Source organism: Homo sapiens (genome assembly GCF_000001405.40).
Source record: "Homo sapiens chromosome 22 unlocalized genomic scaffold, GRCh38.p14 Primary Assembly HSCHR22_UNLOCALIZED_CTG3".
Taxonomy (NCBI): Eukaryota; Metazoa; Chordata; class Mammalia; order Primates; family Hominidae; genus Homo; species Homo sapiens.
In genome coordinates, this window is record NT_187388.1 from 6,890 (window position 1) to 26,545 (window position 19,656).

At 40.4% G+C, this 19,656-nt stretch overlaps 1 pseudogene; it reads left to right on the forward strand.

The window, feature by feature from the left end:
• Positions 1 to 617: 617 nt before the first annotated feature.
• Positions 618 to 6,509, forward strand: LOC107987391 (C-terminal-binding protein 2-like; annotated as a pseudogene).
• Positions 6,510 to 19,656: the final 13,147 nt, after the last annotated feature.

Sequence of the window (19,656 nt, forward strand, 5' to 3'; positions counted from 1 at the left end):
CCTGGCCATGTGCCAGTTTGTGGAGTGCGACATTACTGATAACACCAGTGTCAGTCAGCCTCTGCTGGAGACAGAGATGGAGGCCCTCAAGGAAGAGCTGCTCTTCATGAAGAATCATGAGGAGGAAGTTAAAGGTCTATAATACCTGATTTCCAGCTCTTGGTTGACCATGGAGGTAGATGTCCCCAAGTCTCAGGACCTTGGCAAGATCATGACAGGCATCCGGGCCCAATATGACGAGATGGCTGAGAACAGCTGAGAGGAGCTGGACAAGTACTGGTCCCAGCAGACTGAGGAGAGCACCAGAGTAGTCACCATGCAGTCCGCTGAGATCGGAGCTGCTGAGAGGATGCTCAGGGGGTTGAGATGTACAGTCCAGTCCTTGGATATCGAACTGGACTCAATGAGATATCTGAAAGTCAGCTTGGAGAACAGCCTAAGGGAGGTAGACGCAGATGGAGCAGCTCAACAGGATCCTGCTGCACCTGGAGTCAGAGCTATCCCAAAACCGGGAAGAGAGGTACCACGCCCAAGAGCACGAGGACCTGTGGAACATCAAGGTCGAGCTGGAGGCTGCGATTGCCACTTACTGCCGCCTCCTAGAAGACGGGGAGGATTTCAATCTCCTGGATGCTCTGGACAGCAGTAAATACCTGCAAGCTATCCAAAAGAACAGCCCCCGCAGGATAGTGGACGGGAAAGTGGTGTCTGAGACCAACAATACAGACGTTTTGTTGTGCTAAGCCATCAGAAGCAAGGTCCCTTTGGGGAGCAGGAGGCCAGTAAAAAGTTCAGAGGTAAAAAAAAATTAACTTCAAATCACAGAAGTGTTTCCTTCAACACAAAAGTAATATAGATTCATTAATATATAGAAGTGGAAATTAAGACAATTTCCACAACTACTCACCCAGAGAGGATTAAAAAAATAATTGACCACCAACTAATAAAACAAATACACAAGTCATAAATAAAGTATGAGTAATGTTTATACAGGCAAATGAACAGAGAATTATGTTGGCAATAGACGTGTGGTTGATTCATATTTGACTGATTCATATTCAACTGTACACAGTTGAATATAGTCATACAAAATTATAATATATAAGCAGAATCTAAAAACACAATTAAATAATGTAAGGCAGCCTATCCTAACAAGGAAATACAAGAATATATAATATTAGAAAATAAAATTAAATAAACATTAGCCTGTGAAATACCGAATAAACAAAGCATGCAACGGAAGAAGACTCTTTCTAGATAACTAGCATGTTCAACCATAACTGGGCTCCCATAAAGAGCAGATTTTGAATTCTTAGCATATGGTTAGAGTAACAAAATTGCACAACAAATACATTATAATCTCCCATAAAGAGCATTTAGAAGAAAATTTTAATAAAGATTTCAATGATATTAGAGACACTTTTTATTATGTTCTTAATATATTACTCCTCTTTTTATACAAATGGAAAGGCTATAATTTATTTATTTTTTTTAATTTTTTGAGATGGAGTCTCGCTTTGTCACCCAGGCTGGAGTGTAGTGGCGAGACCTCGGCTCACTGCAACCTCCACCTCCCTGGTTCACGCCATTCTCCTGCCTCAGCCTCCTGAGTAGCTGGGACTACAGGCGCCCACCATCACGCCCGGCTAATTTTTGTGTATTTTTAGTATACACGGGGTTTCACCGTGTTAGCCAGGAAGGTCTTGATCTTCTGACCTCGTGATCCACCCGTCTCGGCCTCCCAAAGTACTGGGATTACAGGCTTGAGTCACCGCTCCTCGCCGGCGATATTTTTTGTAGTTTTAGTAGAGACAGGATTTCACCATGTTGGCCAGGCTGGTCTTGAACTCCTGACCTCGTGATCCACCTATCTCAACCTTTTAATGTGCTGTGATTACAAGCATGAAACACAGCACTGGCCTATAATTTATTATTTTTAAAACAAAGAAAAGCCTTACATTTTTACATATGGGAACAACATGAATATTGTAAAATATGCTGTGGAAAACTACAATATAATAAGCAATTAGAAATAAATTATACTATCATTCAGATAAATGTTGAGGAAAGTAAATGGAAACACTAATGATAAGTTTTTCTATGCAGTGAACTTAGACACAAACTAAAACTTTTCTTAATGTGATGTGCATACCATCCAATTCACTTTTTATATAACACATAAATTCAAGTATGTTTTCTGAAACCCCTGAAGCTAAAGTTATAGGCTAATTTGACATAGGTAAAAACAGGACAGGGAAAACGTACAGATCACAGTCCCACTAAGCTTTATATAAGATTAATTAATAAAATAACTCATTAAGAAATAATGTAACAGTTAAGAATTTGTTCTATTCCTGGCATGTTTCTAAGTTTTTCTATGGATTAAGGTCCTTAAAAATTCTTTGAGATGAGTAGATACAATAAACTATTCCACAGGTGACATGTTTGGCATAGAGAGTTCACATTTCTAAGTTAGTTTCTACTAAGGGAAAGAAAACTTTTTGACCTACATTACCAGAGATGAAAAAAAGAATAAAGTGAAATAGAAGATTCAACTTTATCATATGTGCTGAGGTGCTTTGGGCTCTGATAAATTTTTTTTCTGATTTTTTTGCAGGAACACATTTGAAATAATAGGACTGAAAATTATGAGGAAGAAACATTTGTCCTTGGTGTTTCTGAAATATGTGAACCAAACCCCAATGCCTGCACTTTTGCTCTCACAAACTTCTGACATGAGGCACAGATTTTTACAAGACAGCTTAACATAGAAGTCTCACAAAATGTGCAGATTTCCTCAGATCCCAAAAACAATGGAAAAGCACTCAGACCACAAGAGCTTCATGGGAATAGCAGAAAGAAGAGGCGAACTTTGGCTGTCACTGTGAATGCCCTGGAATGTTAGTGGATGAACAGAGAAGCCTTAGAAGATTTAAGAGCATAATAAGCATAGGGTAGGAAATTTCCACCTGTGGCAGCAAAAGAAGTAAATTTAGAATTTTCCAGAACCAATTTCTTTGAAGCAGAACTTCCAACACCACATTTTTAAGGTTTTCTCCTTGGCCTTTGCACCTCTCATCTTTGTTATTTGTTCATTCTTCCCTATTGGGGTGTTGCCTATTATTCTCTCTCTTTTTACATTCCAAAGATATTTCCTTTACTGTAGGACAGGGGCATCCACGGGAGACTACAGCCATGAGTTCTTAGTTTCTGTTTCTGGTTGAGCCAGTAAGGCCCTTTCCTCATCCCCCTTTTCCACTTATCACTAGACACAGAACCCAAAAACCATTGCTGCAGGCTGCTAAAAACCTAAAACAAAACAGAGCCATAACAAAAACAAAACAAGGCGGGTTGGAAAAGCTTGCTGTACGAGGCAACCAGGTCTGGCTTATATTCACCACATCCCTTCTTCTTTCCCAGAACAGCAATTGGGCTCAAGAGAAAACGTCCAACTTTTAGTATATCCCTCAGTGTAGAATGAGAACAGTGGAACATATGTTCAAAGGTTTGGCTTTGTGGGCTACCGCTGATGACTAGATTCTGTCTCCCCAAACAGGGAATGCTAAAGGAAATGGCAGAGTAATGAGAATGATAACTTATGACTGCTGAGAAGAGAAGTTACATGCTTACCACAGCCTCAGAGAAACAAACACTACAATCAACTGCGGAAGCAAAGGACCACAGTGTCTGGAAAACAATGGGAAAAAATATCTTTACCTTAAAAATACACACACAAGCCCAGAGAAGACACATTGAAGACACTGTTAATGAAGTACCAGGATGTACAGCCTCACTGATTGTTGTATTATCTTGTAGTAAGCAAGTTTGTACATACTACATTACACAGTTGTTTTATAAATTTCTGAATCTCATCAAAAGATTGCAGGGCATACAGAAAAGGACGAAAACATGTCCCAATTGAAGAAATAAAATAAACCTACAAATATTGACCTTTAAAAATCTTTGTTGACTTTTAAAGGTCAAAATTTGTAGGTTTATTCTTTGTTGTTGTTGTTTTTGCATTATATAATTTTAAAAATCAAAATAATTATCAAAGCTCCTTAATGATATGAACACTCCTCCAGTCCGCAGGGCTCCGGCAAGGGAGGAGCTTAGACACCATGCGGGACACCCGGGTGGACCCCCAACCCACGCCCGAGGCTCAGAGCAGGAGCAAGGACCTGGCTGCACCAGGCCGAAGCCGCCTCCACCCCCAGCGGTCGCGGACTCCAGGAGCTCCAGACCTGGGGTCGTGGTGAGATTCGTTGATTGACTGCGCGATGGTGGCTGAGTTGCAACCAAATGGGTTTCATCACCTTAAATGGTTTTGAACCAATGAAGCTATATTCCCTTAAAGAGACGGACAGCCCATCGTGTGAACTATAGAGTTTGTGAACAAATTTATATTGGGTTCATAGTGGCATCATGCACACAGACTCCTGCGAGTTCCCCTAAGTTCTTAGAGGACTGTTTTACCTTTTGATCTGAGAGTTGCAAAGTTCCGTAAAGAATGGCCCTGTGGATAAGCGCTAAGTCAAGAGACAGCGATTGGACAGAATTTGTGAAGGAATTCGCCGCCAGATCACGAAAGACCCCCTAAGCCCCCGCTCACTGGCAGCGTTCCTGGTCGGCCGTGACTGCACTGTGGACATGCCCATCCTGAAGGATCTGGCCACCGTGGCCTTCTATGATGCAGTCCACGCAGGAAATCCACGAGAAAGTTCTAAACAGAGCCGTGGGCCCCATGATGCACCACACAATCACCTCACTAGGAAGGTTCTGGCAAATTTCAAGTCCTTGAGAGTGCTCGTGGGGGTGGGCAGTGGCTATGACAACGTGGACATCAAGGCTGCCAGCGAGCTCGGAATTGCTGTGTGAAACATCCCGTCCGCAGCCGTGGAAGAGACAGCCAATTCCACCAACAGCCACATTCTCAACATGTACCGGAGGAACACATGGCTGTACCAGGCACTGTGGGAAGGCAAGCGGGTTCAGAGCATGGAGCAGATCTGCGAGGTGGCCTCGGGAGTGGCCCGCATTCGTGGGAAGACGCTGGACCTCATCGGCTAGGGTCGCACGCAGCAGGCTTTTGCAGTTCCAGCCACAGCCTTTGGATTCAGCGTCATGTTTTATTACCCCTACTTGCAGGATGGGATCGAGCAGTCCCTGGGCATGCAGAGGGTCTACACCCTGCAGGATTGGCTGTATCAGAGCGACTGCATCTCCTTGCACTGCAGTCTCAACGAACTTAAGCACCACCTCATCAATGACTTTACCATAAAGCAGATGAGGCAGGGAGCATTCCTTGTGAACGCAGCCCGTGGTGGCCTGGTGGACGAGAGAGCCTTAGCACAGGCCCTCAAGGAAGGCAGGATACGAAGGGCAGTCCTCGACGTGAACGAGTCGCAGCCCTTTAGCTTTGCTCAGGGTCCGTTGAAAGATGCCCCCAATCTCATCTGCACTCCTCTCACTGCCTGCTACAGCCAGCAGGTGTCACTGGAGATGAGGGAGACAGCTGCCACCGAGCTCCGCCGAGCCATCACAGGTCGCATCCCAGGAAGCTTAAGAAACTGTGTGAACGAGGAATTCTTTGTCACATCTGTGCTTTGGTGGGAAATAGACCAGCAAGAAATTCATCCAGGCATCTTGGGTGTGGGTCCAGGAGGACTTCCTGCATCCATGGAAGGGACCTTCCCTGGAGACATCCTGGTGACTCATAAACTCCCGACAGTGGCACATCCTTCCCAAGCACCCTCTCCCAACCAGCCCTCAAACACGGGGACAATCGAGAGCACCCCAACGAGTAATAACAGAGAATGCCGGAAGGTAATCATTCAGATACACTTTTGAAGAAGAGACAGTGAAAAATAGACAAACTAAGAGAAAAAGAATCTGACGCTCTTTTTAGCTGATTCTGGACATATGCTCATTGGTTTTGCAGTGTTAAAACTGCAAGACCTAGAAAACTGAAGATGTCGTCTGCTTACGGAAGCTCTGAAAGACTAGGATGTGATTTATTAACCACCAACTTCCGTTATTATGTGTTTAGTTTTTCATCTGTGCGTCAAATCACAAAGAATAAATACAACTTTTTCCTTTGTCAGTCCCTTGGGCACAGCAGGTCAGGAACACCCAGCTCAGAATGTTGCATCAAGACTTCAAACATCAAAATAAAAACCATGAGGAGGAAATCCCCATCTTGTGACTTGAGTCCCTTCAGTCTACAGGGACTGGTTACAGCTTTTTGCTAATAGGAAGATCACATTACTAGAAAATATGGAGTAAACTGTTTGCCTGTGGTAGACATCCTCACGCATAGGATTGAAGACAGTACCGGGTCCTGTACAGAGAAGCGTCTCTCACATCTGAACTGCATATTGAGCGGGCAAGTTGGTTGTAAGTTCAGTAAAAGCCTCCGATAATGCAAAAAAAAAAAAAAAAAAAGTATTAACTTTCACACGCTGTTTGTAATCAAGTATATTTTCTTAGTTTCAGATCCTCTGGTATTTTATTTAGTGGGAAGTCTTGCACTAAAAGGGTTCAAGAAAAATAATATTGCACTTTCTTATGTCACAGGAAACACTTTTAATGGTAACTTGTCAGATTGTCTATGAACAAACCCACTTTTTAAGACATTGATAAAGTCTTCTTTTCTTCACGTTGTGTTTTATACAAGAACACTTCAGCTGTATTGGATGTGACTGATTTTAACAAATTATATTAGATTTGCATCAATTAGTTACATGTTCTATTCATAGTCTTTTGTGAATATTGTCTTTTTGTTTAAAAAGATGGCCTGTTTTGATCCTTTGGTTAGGGACATTCCCGTTTTTGTAAGAAAAGAGAAATTTTTAAAACTGTCCCAAACAGAAAAATAATGGCTATCAGAAGTACGTTTTGTTTTAGTGTAGTGCGAATTACCGTTACTGTAGTTGTTTATTGTAAAGATGGACATTTAGCATTCAGTGCAGTTTTCAATAAAATGTGATTAGAAAAAACTGCTTAATGAACAAAAACAGAACATAGACAACAAAAGAATATTAGAAGAAGTGATACATAAAGAAAATGAGATATCAATAAAAAGATTTTTAAAAACCAACAATTGTGAATCTGAAGAACATAATAGCTATATTAAAAATTTAATCAACAGTCACAAAAGCAGACTAATAAAGGAGAAAAAATTACACAATTGATGACATTGTAGTTATAAATATTGAGTGATGAAAACAAATTTTTTAAGCAGAATGGAGGAAAAAGTATGGGACGTACTGCACATTGTCAAGTGGACCATTATATTTATGAAAGGAGTCTTACAAAAACAATATAGGAGAAAAGTAATAAAGAGATTATTTTTAAAAAGTAGCTGAGAAATCCCCACATGACAAGATAATTAAACAAGAAGAAATACTTCCAAACAAAAACCTTCAACTGGAGTAATATCACTTCAGAAATAAAAAAACTAAACCTTTCCAAAATAAATAAAAGTTGATTGTGTTACTAACCACTAGAAGAGTCCTAAAGGAAGTGTAAAAGAGTCTATCAAGTCCAAAAATGAAATGATGCTGCAGAGCATCATAACAGCACATGAAAATAGAAAGCTCTCTATTAAAGGTAAATATATAAACAGGTAAAGAAATCTCTACTGTCATAATCATGGTGCACAAAACTTTCAAAATATTGCCATGGAGTTTAAAACATGAAGCAGAAATCTGCATAAATTTGTGATCATAGACCATAAGGAAAGATAATATGTGATATTAATAAAACAGTGGGAGTGTGAAGAGGTACAACTTTGCATTCAGTTGAAATATGGTTGTTCTATACTGTCATAACTTTAAGATGATTTATGAAGTCTTTATTTCTCAGGATGATTACCAAAAAAACCTGTAGAATGTATGCAAAGGCAAACGAGAAAGAAATTCAATCACGTCACTACAAAATCAACAAACAGAAATAAAGCAGTAAGAGAAAAAATGATAAATAACACATCTACAAGAAACACAGAAGACAATTACAAATAATAAAGTAACTTCATTAAATGCAGTAATGACTTCAAATATAAAAAGTTAAATACCTTAAAGAAAATTAATAAATAATTTAATGGATTAAGAACAAAGAAGATCCAGCAATGTGCTCTCTACAAGAGTCATTCCAGCTCTAAGGACTCAAATAAGTTGAAAGTAACAGTATAAAGAAAATATATTTTATGCAAAGAGTAGCTAAAATTGGAGGGCCATGGTCATAATTATACTAAACAAAATATATTTTAAATCAAAAATATGAACAAGAGACAGATTGGTATTGTGTTTTTGTTTTTGTTTTTGGAGACAGAGTCTCATTCTGTCACCAGGCTGGAGTGCAGTGGCACGATCTCGGCTCACTGCAACCACAACCTCCCTGGTTCAATCGATTCTCCTGCTTCAGCTTCCCGAGTAGCTGGGACTACAGGCACACGCCGCCACCTCACCCAGCTAATTTTTGTACTTTTTAGTAGAGATGGGGTTTCACCTTGTTGGCCAGGATGGTCTCGATCTCTGGACCTCATGATTCACCCGCCTCGGCCTCCCAAAGTGCTGAGACTACAGGCGTGAGCCACTGCGCCCGGCCGAGAGAGATTGGTATTATGTAATGGTGAGATGGATTAACTTTCCAGGAATCTATAACAATAATTTATAAATCATATATATATAATTTGAAAAATCTGCAAAAATATACCATTGAGATTTTGACAAAAATTACATTAAATTTTTGTATTACTATAAATAGCACTGACATCTTTCTTTCTTTTTTTTTTTTTAGAGACAGAGTTTCTTTCTCTCAGGCTGGAGGGCAGTGGCACGATCTCTCGATAGGCTCACTTCAACCTCCTCCTCCCAGGTTCAACTGATTCTCGTCTTTCAAATATGTAAAACAAATATTGACAGAAGTCAAGCAAGAAATACATAGCAACACAACAATGGTGGACTTCAAGTCTCCACTTCAGTAATGACTAGAATAGTCAGAAGTAATATCAGTAAGAAAGCCAAACCTGAACATTATAGACCCAACCAGCATTTACAGAACTCTCCAATTTAAAGGAGCAAAATCTGCAATATTCTAAATCACACATGGTACATTCTGTTAGGATACATGTCTTATTAAATTTAAGAAAACCGAAGCCATACAATGTAAATGAAACTAGAATTCAAAAGCAAGAAAATGTGGCAAATATGTAAATAAGAGGAAATTAAGCAAAATCTTTCATATAGTCTTGCTCAAGTGTCAGGTGATTTAATATTGTTAAGATGTCAGGGCCGGCATGAGGCTCATGCCTGTAATCCTAGGACTTTGGGAGGCCAAAGTGGGTGGATCACCTGAGATCAGAAGTTTGAGACTAGCCTAGTGAATATGGCAAAACCCTATCTCTACTAAAAATACAAAAGTTAGCTAGACATGATGGTGCACGACTGCAATCCCAGCTACTCTGGTGGCTGAGACTGGAGAATTGCTTGAACCTGGGAAGCGGAGCCTGCAGTGAGCACATCTCGCACCCCTGCCCTTCAGCCTGAGTGACTCACTAAAACTCCATCTCCAAAAAAAAAAAAAAAAAATGTTGCCAGTACTACTCATGATGATATAAAAATGTAAGGTAATTTTTGTCAAAATCCCAATGGTATTTTTTTTGCAGAATTTTTGTGTATAATTCTAAACGTTGCTTAGGAAAGGTGACTAGCCAAACACCCTTTAAAAAGAACAAAGAGGTATTACATTTTCTGATTCAAAATCATGATACAAAGCTACAAAAATAAAAACAATATGGTATTGCCACAAAAACAGATACATAGATGACGAAACAGAATAGAGATCCCAGAAATAAACCCTTGCATATGTGATAAAATAATCTTCCATAAGCTTTCCATGACCACACAATAGAAAAATAAGAATCTATTTAACAAAGAATTTTCCAAATTGAATATTTACAGAGAAAAAAATAAAATTGGATGCTTCCTTTGTATCATATATAAAAAGAAAAGTTTTTTAAATGAATTCAATACTTAAACATAAAACCTAATAAAATTCTTAGAAGTAAACATAAGGGAAAAGTTTATGACATAAGTCTTAAAACTCTTTCCTTAAGTTTGACATCAAATTCATAAGCAACAAGGAAAAGAACAACGACCAAAAAAAGGGACTACATTAAGCTTCAACTATTCTACACATCAAATAAAACATTTAGTGCCATACAAACGTCACCTAATAAGTGGGTGAAAGCTAGGCATGGTGTCTCATGCCTTTAATTCTACAACTTTAGGAGGCCAAGGCAGAACAATCACTTGAGGCCAAAAGTTTGAGACTAGCCATGAAAACATAGCAAGACCCTGTCTTGTATAGGGTTATATATATGCATACATACATACATAAAACAAAAAAGAGTAAAAATATTTTCTAATCACATATTTGGTAGGTGTTAATTTTCAAAATATATAAATTCCTAAAACTCAACAACAAAAAAAGTTAATAACTTGATTTAGAATGGCACATGTTTGAAATGACTTTCTCCAAAGAAGACATAGAAATGACTAGGCATTTAAAAGGATACTCGACAACTCTCTTCTATAAAAATACAAAGAAAAGTCACAATAATCTATCACATCAAACCTATATTTAAAATAGTATGAAAGCTCTTCAAAAAATTTAAAATGAGATTATTATACAATCCAGCAAACCCCATTCTGGCTATGTATTTAAAATATACAACACATGATCCGGAAGAGATATTTGCACACCCAAATTTATTGCAGCATTACTAACACAAGCCAAAAGGCAGAAACAACCCAGCTGTCCCTTGACCAATGAAGAGATTAATAACAAGTGGCACATACACAAAGTCGAATATTATTCAGTCTTTAAAAAGTCACATTATATGATTATTCTTGAGAATATCACGTTAACTGAAATAAGCCAGGAACAAAGTGACAGTCTATGATTCCATTCATAATCAGGTATCTTAAGTAGACAAACTCATAGGAAAAAAATAGTTAGAATGGTGTTTGTCAAGGACTGAAGAGATGGTAAAATGGGCAATTGTCTTAAAAGACATTTAATGTTAGTTTTGCAAGACATAGAAGTTCTACAGATCTTTTGCATAACTATGTGAATGTACTTAACGCTAATGAAATATACACTTAAAAAGAATTAAAATGGTAAATTTTACATTATGTGTTTTTACCACAATCGCAGTTTTTAAAAGGAAAAAATATGGACTTATAAATCTTTCCAAAAATTAAATTTTGTTCACAAAAGATTTTCTCTCACACAAAGGAAGTATAGATTTATAATTAAACTCATTGTGAAATTAAGATTATTTCAATGACTATTCATCCTCACAAGATAAGACAACCACTGAAAATCAGCCAAAAAATATGGAAGATAAGCCAGGAGCAAAGTTGGGGACATATTTATAGAGACAAACACATATATAATTTAATTTTGAAAACGTATGACCGATTTATATTTTAATTAAACCCAACATTAGTTTCCTGAGTGAAATTTGGTTTTCAGTTTGGGCAAATGAAGACCTTTCTGTGGTTAAAAGGATTCTTTCTTCTCCGTTTCTTCATATGGACCTGTGCTGGGGATTGGTCAGCTGTTCAAGTGCAATGCACTCAGTTTTGGTTCTGTGCCAGGATTAAACCTACGATATTTCACATTTCATATATAAACCCCGATGAAGTGTTTCTAGGAGATGGCTGCCTCATAACCTATATTTTGCCAAATGTTTACTATGAATTTCACCACCATCCTCTTGAAGGTGGTATTGTAACTAAAACTCTTCAGGACATTCTACTTAAAACTAAAATCACGTATATCTCAAGAAACTCCTTTCTGATTTGAAATGCCTCTGTCATGTATTGTCTGCAATCAGCATCCTCTTTCAAAGAAAGTAGAAAAGACACATGAGGAAACTGATAGTGTTACTGCATGGGAGACAGAGGTGAGGATACACATGGCGGATGAAAACATGGAAGTTATTTCTACAGCACGATCTTGTAAGTGTCTGACTGCTATGCTCCCTTGTATATCAAATGATGTACCTTTATTGCAAGAGAAGATAGTGCGCTGTTTACCTTGACATTGAGAGGCAATTTTGAATCTCTGTCGTGATTGCTTAGGACTGAGGATTTAATGTACTATTTTGTGGAAATCTTAGAAGCAGTAATGGGATTTAATGATCTTAACTATCATCCATCTGAAAAATCTAACGCGATTTTAAATAAAATGGCCGGCTGCTTCCACCGTTCCCTTTTTAAACCAGGAGCTGCCGTTGCTTTTAACATTATGAAGTTGAATCTATGAATAGTTTGTACTATTAACATTTTTCTAAAAATCCACATTGACTTGAAGTGTACAGGCAGAGTTGAAAATCATAACATCCAAAGTTATAATACATAAGTAAAACCCAAAATAAAATCAACTGCTGCCCTGGAACCTATTATAAATAATCGAGACAGTAATATGGAATTGTAAAGAAAAATAAGAAACATATTTACTCATAAAATCTTGCAAGCAAAGTTTTTTTCTTTTTTTGAGACAGAGTCTCACTCTGTCTCCCAAGCTGAAGTGCAGTGGCGAGACGACGGCTCGTTTCAACCTCCGCCTCCTGAGTTCAAACCATTCTCCTGCCCCAGCCTTCACTGAGATTACAAGCACCTGCTACCAGACCAGGCTACCTTGCATATATACTTGATATATCATTTATGAAAATACTTTTTAGATAACTAAAATATTCTACTGTGACTGTGCATTCATGAAGTTCGGGTATCTTGAATCATTGGCATGCAGTGTGTGACAGTAAAATTTCACAGAAAATACACTATAACCATTAATAAAAGGCTCTAATAAGAGAATTTTAATGCATAAGAATTGAAAAGACACCATAAATAATTTCCGTCGTATTTTTAATACACTGATGCTATTCTTACACAAAGTAAAAAGGCTGGGTAAGTTGTGGTGGCTCACACCTGTAATTCCAGCAATTTGGGAGGCCGAGGTAGCAGATTGCTTAAGCACAAGAGTTCACAACATGCCTGGGCAGGATAGGGAGACCCTGTCTCTGCAAATAATAATAAACAGCCAAGTGTGTTAATACACATTTGTGGTCCCATCTGCTCAGGAGGCTGAGGCAGGAGAATTGCCTGAGCCTGAGTGGTCAAGGCTAGAGTGAGCTGTGATTATGCATTGCATTCCAGCCCAGGTGACACAGTGAGACCCTGTTTAAAGAAAAAAACAAACAAAAACTAAAAATTAACCAGGAGTAGTGGCATGCACCTGTACTCCCAGCTACTTCAGAAGCTGAAGTTAGAAAATCCTTTGAGCCTGAGAGTTTGAGTCTGCAGTGAGCCATAATTGAGCTACTGAACTCCAGTCTGTGTGACAGAGCAAGGCCTTGTCATAGATAGATAGATGATAGATGATAGATAGATAGATAGATAGATAGATAAATAAATAGATGGAATACACCTGGAGAAAGAGTAAATTTTAATGTAGTGTGATGTAATTTTTAAAATAAACTTTATGTGTATCACTTAGAAATTTATAGAACAGGCCGGGGGCGGTGGCTCACGCCTCTAATCCCAGCACTCTGAGAAGACGAAGGGGGCAGATCAGGGGGCCGGATATCGAGACCAAGACCATCCTGGCTAACACGGTGAAACCCTGTCTCTACTAAAAATACAAAAAATTAGCCGGGTGTGGTGGCGGGCAACTCTAGTCCCAGCTACTCGGCAGGCTGAGGCAGGAGAATGGCGTGAAACCGGGAGGCAGAGCTTGCAGTGAGCCGAGATCGCGCCGCTGCACTCCAGCCTGGGCAACAGAGCGAGAGTCTGTCTCGAAAAAAAAAAAGAAATTTATACAACTTAGCCAGAAGAATAAAAAACAACCTCTTAACAGTTTTTTCAAATAAAAAAGGTGAGTTTGAAGAGAAGGGAATAAAGGGGACTTTCAGTTTAATGTGTTTTTATTTTTTGAGTCAGGGTCTCACTTTGTTGCCCACATGGAAGCGCAGTGGTGTGATTTCAGCTCACTGCAATCTTGGCCTCCCAGGCTCAAACAATCCTCTCACCTCAGCCTCCCTAGTAGCTGCGAATACAGGTGTACATCACCACAACTGGTTAATTTTTGTATTTTTGTAGAGAGAGGGTTTTACCATGTTGCCCACACTCGTCTTGAGCTTCTGGGCTCAAACAATTCACCTGCCTTGGGCTCCCAAAGTGCTGGGATTGAGCCACTACGCCAACCAAGTTTTTTGTTTTGTTTTGTTTTTGAGATGGAGTCTCACTTTGTTGCCCAGGCTAGAGTGCAATGGCACGATCTTGGCTCACTGCACCATTTGCCTCCTGGGTTCAAGTGATTCTCCTGCCTCAGCCTCGTGGGTAGCTGGGATTATAGGCACCCGCCACCGAGACCAGCTAATTTTTGTATTTTTTAGTAGAGATGGGGTTCCACCATGTCAGCTAGGCTGGCCTCAAATTACTGACCTCATGATCCACCCACCTCGGCCTCACAAAGTGCTGAGATTACAGGCATGAGTCACTGCTCCCAGAGACCAGCCAAGACTTTTACTTTATAAAGATATTTATGATGTTTTCTTTTCTTTTTACAGTATGTATTGCATTTATAATTGGAGATAGAAAAAAAGGTGACTGTTACTGTTTGACAGCAAGGCAGTAGTATTATCTTCATCAATATTTGCAACTTAATTCGCAGGAACCTGTAAGAGAAAGCCCAGACAAAACTTTAAGGCAAAGAAGTTACACTTGTAAAAAATGAGAGGACTATGTTTTTATAATAACAAATATTCCAGGTGAGGACTGGTCAGGATCTACCACTGCTCCATCTCACTTGATAAGTCTCATGCCTGCCAGGGTAAGAAGGAGCAGAGAGAAGGACAAATGCCAGTGAGTTTCCTCTCCCACTAAGGATCTGTTTGTCAAGTTTCCCACCATCAAGTGGAAGATGTACTAAAAATAAAATGTACCCTTGCAGATGCTAGCAGAGAGGCACAAAATAGAAAAGGAGGTAAGCCCACGCATTGTGGAGAAAGAGATCCAACTTAAGATTCAAAATGCACCAGAAAGCTGTGTAAAGTTAATAAAATTACTCAAAATCTTGGAACATTTGTTTCCTCACCTGTAAAATGGGGATCATGTGCCTACTTCATAAGTTGTTTTGACAGTTAAATTCACAGAGATATTTAATAGAGCCTGCTATGGCAAGTGTTCACATTAACAAAGTAGTATCAAACTTCAAAATATGGGAAAGGTATTTTGAATAATGTCTATGAGGCCAAGGACAACATGCCCAGCTTCATAATCAATCCCAGCCACATTACACTGAGGAGATCTACAGGCAACTATATTTCTTCAACAAATTCCATTAGAGAGGAAGAGTGTGTAGTCTGAAAACATGACACAAATGTGACCAGTATACAGTGACTTAGGTAGTCGGGGGTGGAATCCCTACATATTCTCTGAATTGCAGTTACACAGTGAGTTCCCAGGAAACAAATGGAATAGAAAAGGTGACACAAAATATACTACCATAAATGGGGTGAGCATAGCAGGTTCACAACCACAAATGTAAGAAGGAGACTCAAATCACAAGGAGCACCTAGATCTGTGAACAGCAGCTTGTGGTGGCATCAGGTTCAACTTTCTGAGACCACCGGTGTGGGCAGTGTCTTTGCAGGCACATACTCGGCAGCAGTGTATCTGAAGACAGATCTCAAGGCTCTTCTCTTCATTAATTATTAAGATGATAGATGATGGATACCCTCACGTTACAACATCCCCACTAACGCTGTGGACAAGTGAATTCAGAACCCCCCACCTAAATACACAGTGAAGAGTAGGATGAGAATACTGCAGGATAGGTTAGGAATGCAGGCATTCGACCCCATAGAGTCTATTTAAAATAAGAGAAGGGCCCTAGTATTGTGCTGTGGTCCTCCTATATATAGTTCTTTATTTTTCCAATTTCATAAAGGCCATACAGTTTTTCTTCCTTTCTTCACAAATGTGCTGATGAACCCATGAGTAATTCATCCTGAAGGGGTTAATTCCTCATAAAGTACAGTAACGTGATTCAATTGCTATGATGAGGTTTTTCAGGATTTTTTTATAGTGTCCCATACTCACCGATCACAAGTGAAAATTATAAGAACATGTAATTTGAACAAAGTTTTCTTTTCACATAGAGAAATACACAGGTTTGTACAGATTAGATGCATCATCAAAGTTGGTAACATCTGGGAACAAAAGGAACTATCCTGAGGACATAAGGAACTTAGGAACGTCGATTATTAAGAGGCTACCTGCAAGTGGAACTTCTGGGTTTTCATTGTCTAGACAGAAAAATTTAACTGATAAGCCCCAGTATATTAAGGTACATCCCCAACGGCTGTGGGGGATCAACTTTCCATCCAAAGCAGAGATGTAAAACATGAATGACTTCAAATGCGGCTCAAGTGCTCTGCACCTTGAAAGTCATCCCCACAAAGCTGGAGCACCACCTGTTCCTGAGGGATGAGGTCACCAGCTGCTTTTTTGAGACACTCGTCAGTCAGGACTCAGTTGAGATGAGGCTGGTGATTTCAACTGTAAAATATCTAAACCATCGTCTTTAGGTAGATTCTTATGCCTGGGAATTGTGGTTTTCTCCTCTGCTGTTAGCAGATCCTGAGTAACCCAAGAAATACCCGCTCTCACCCGTCAAGTTCTATATCACAAGAAAGGCGCTGCAGACGGTGACATTTTCACGAAGGAGCCACAGCCCGCATCACCCCCTGAAAGCTCTGAAGTTGCGCACGGGTGGGTCACGCAGCAGGTGGATGTCTCAGTTCCCATAGAGTTTAGCAGAGCAGGCGGCTCCCTGGGCTGGAAGAGGTGCGATGCTCTGGAAACCCCCCGCGGGTGTGTATGTGAGAGGACACCGAGATGTTCAGCGGGCTGTTCATGAGGACCAGACCCCTCCGATTTGAGCAAGGGAGGTGCACTTCGCAGGGTCACACCGTCCTCATCGCCCAGCCTAGACCTGCCCCTCAAGTCCTTCTGCGGACTCCCTTGGCGAGGGGGTGGCACAGAATCAGCATGTGGCATCGCTTAGGAAAGGACGAGTCCACACCGCCCTGTCCCTCCCTCCAGGGCTGCGCACCACGGGGGAGGACAGACAGCGCATGCTGGTTTTGTAGTTAGCAGGTCGGCGACCAATGGGCTGGAAACCGTTAAGACACCATAACTCCCAGCACTCCTAGCTAGGGACGCGCCTCCCTATCCTTCGCTTCCATACTACACACCGACCCCAAACCCAGCGCATGCTGAGATTGTAGTCCGTTAGCCTCGCGACCAATGGGCTGGAAATACTGAAAGGACTATGACTCCCAGGATGCCTTGCGAGGTACCCGCCGTCCCGATCCTTCCTCTAGGGCTGCGCACCGCCCCCAAGCCCAACGCATACTGGGATTGTAGTCAGGTAGTCCTGGGACCAACTGACTGGAAACTGTTAAGAGACCATAACTCCCAGCACGCCTGGCTAAGGACGCACCTCCCTATCCTTCCCTTCAGTGCTACACACCGCCTCGAAGCCCGGTGGCTGCTGGGATTTTAGTCTGCAGGCCGGGGGCCATCGCTGGAAACCATTAAGAGACCATAACTCCCAGCATCCCTGGCCAGGGACGCGCCTCTCTATCCTTCCCTCCAGCGTTACACACCGCCCCAATCCCGGTGCATGCTGGCATTGTAGTTCGGTAGCCTTGCGATCAACGTGCTGGAAACTGTTTAAGGACTATGACTCCCAGGACGCCTTGCGAGGGACCCACCCTGTTGACCCTTCCTCCAGGGCTGGGAACCTCCCCTAAGCCCAGCGCATGCTGGGATCATAGTCCGACTGCCGCGACAGAAAGGCTGGGAGTGGATCTGAGACTACAGTTCCAACACTACGGGGAAAATTTCATCTTCTCTGAGACTACAGTTCCAACACTGCGGGGATAATTTCATCTTCTCCTCCGCCCCTCCATGTTTCCAGTGCAATTCCGCCCTGCTGAGGGGAGCCTATCTGTTCCCAAACTTCTGCGTGCGAGGAGACAGCGTGGCCAGGGCAGGTGGTCTCACTTGTAATTGTGACACAGTCTCCCCACGTGCCAGTTGTACGACTATTTGTGCCTGAAGTTTGATTTCTCTCTGACAAGACAGAGCCCGGGAGCCTCTAACAGCCTGCCCAGTGTTGCCGTAACGCTTGCTCTCGGGGAGCTGGGCGCGCCCAGACCTTTGCAGGGCCCCTCCCTCAGCCCCGACCCTTCTCCTCGCCCCTCCCCTGCCACGCCCCTTTCGACATGCTGGAAAGTCATCTACCTTTAATAACAGTCATCTTTGCAAAAAAAAAAAAAAAACTCTGAGAATAACCTATCTCCCATTCTATTTAGTATTTATTTCCATAGTATCCATAAATAGTAGCAATTAGATATCATAGCAAGTCAAGCAAAAGCCCTGCCTTGCCTGTTTCATAAACCACGATATGGCCTTGCTGTGGTTTTATTTGTATTTTGTTTTGTATTTATTGACCTTTTGGATATAAATATTTAGGTATTTGGACAGTTTTTGGAAGTATTCCGCTATTAGTTGTTGATTTACTTTTGTTCCCTATTTAATTTTTTTTGTCTCTCCCTTCTCCTTAGACTCAGTCATTCCACAGGTCTCGAGAGCTCTGTTCATTTCCTTTAAACTTTTTGTACTTTTTTTTTCCCAGACTGGATAATTTCTATTGCTGTGTCTTCTGTTTTAAATCTATGGCTAAACGCAAAAGATTTTTTTCATTTCCTTATCTATAATTTTTTTATATATATGTTCATTTCTCTGCTGAAGTTCCACATCTGTTTGTTTATGAATAGAATATTTTCTTTTTTCCCCATGAACATATTCATAAAAACTGCCTTCAAATTCTTGTCTGCTGATTGCAACATCCTGGGATAGCTTCTACTGCCTGCTTTTGATATTGTGTATGGATGACATTTTCACGTTTCTTTACAAGTCTTATGAATTTTAAAATTGTGCACTAGAAACTATAAATGATAATTATAGAATAGAAACTCTGGATTTTGTTGTTTTACCTTGAAGACTTTTGTTTTATAAACAGGGTTCATTGGGCTAGTGTCAAACCAATGCTTGTGTCTGCTACAGTGGGTATAGCTGAAATCTTCATTCAGTTGTTAAACACACATATCATATATGTATTATGCATAGGCGTTTTTCTATAATAATATATTTTATTCAAGTTTCATCATTGTTATTTGTGAGAGTTCAACAAGCTAGTCCACACTTAGTGGAAGTCAGAACCTCAGTTTTATTTGATTGTAGCATTTTATATAAACAAAATTATATAGTATGTATACTTGTACATCTGTTTTCTTTATTTCCTTTTCTGTTTTCTTTCTTTCTTTCCTTTTCTGTCTTCTTTCTTTCTCTCTTTCTTTCCTTCTTTCTTTCTCTCTTCTTTTTTCTTTCTTTCTTTTCCCCAGGTTGGTGTGCAGTGGCATGATCTCACTGCAACCTCTGCCTACCAGGCTTAAGATATCCTTCCACTTCAGCCTTTTGAGTCACTGGGACCGCAGCCTTGCACCACCAT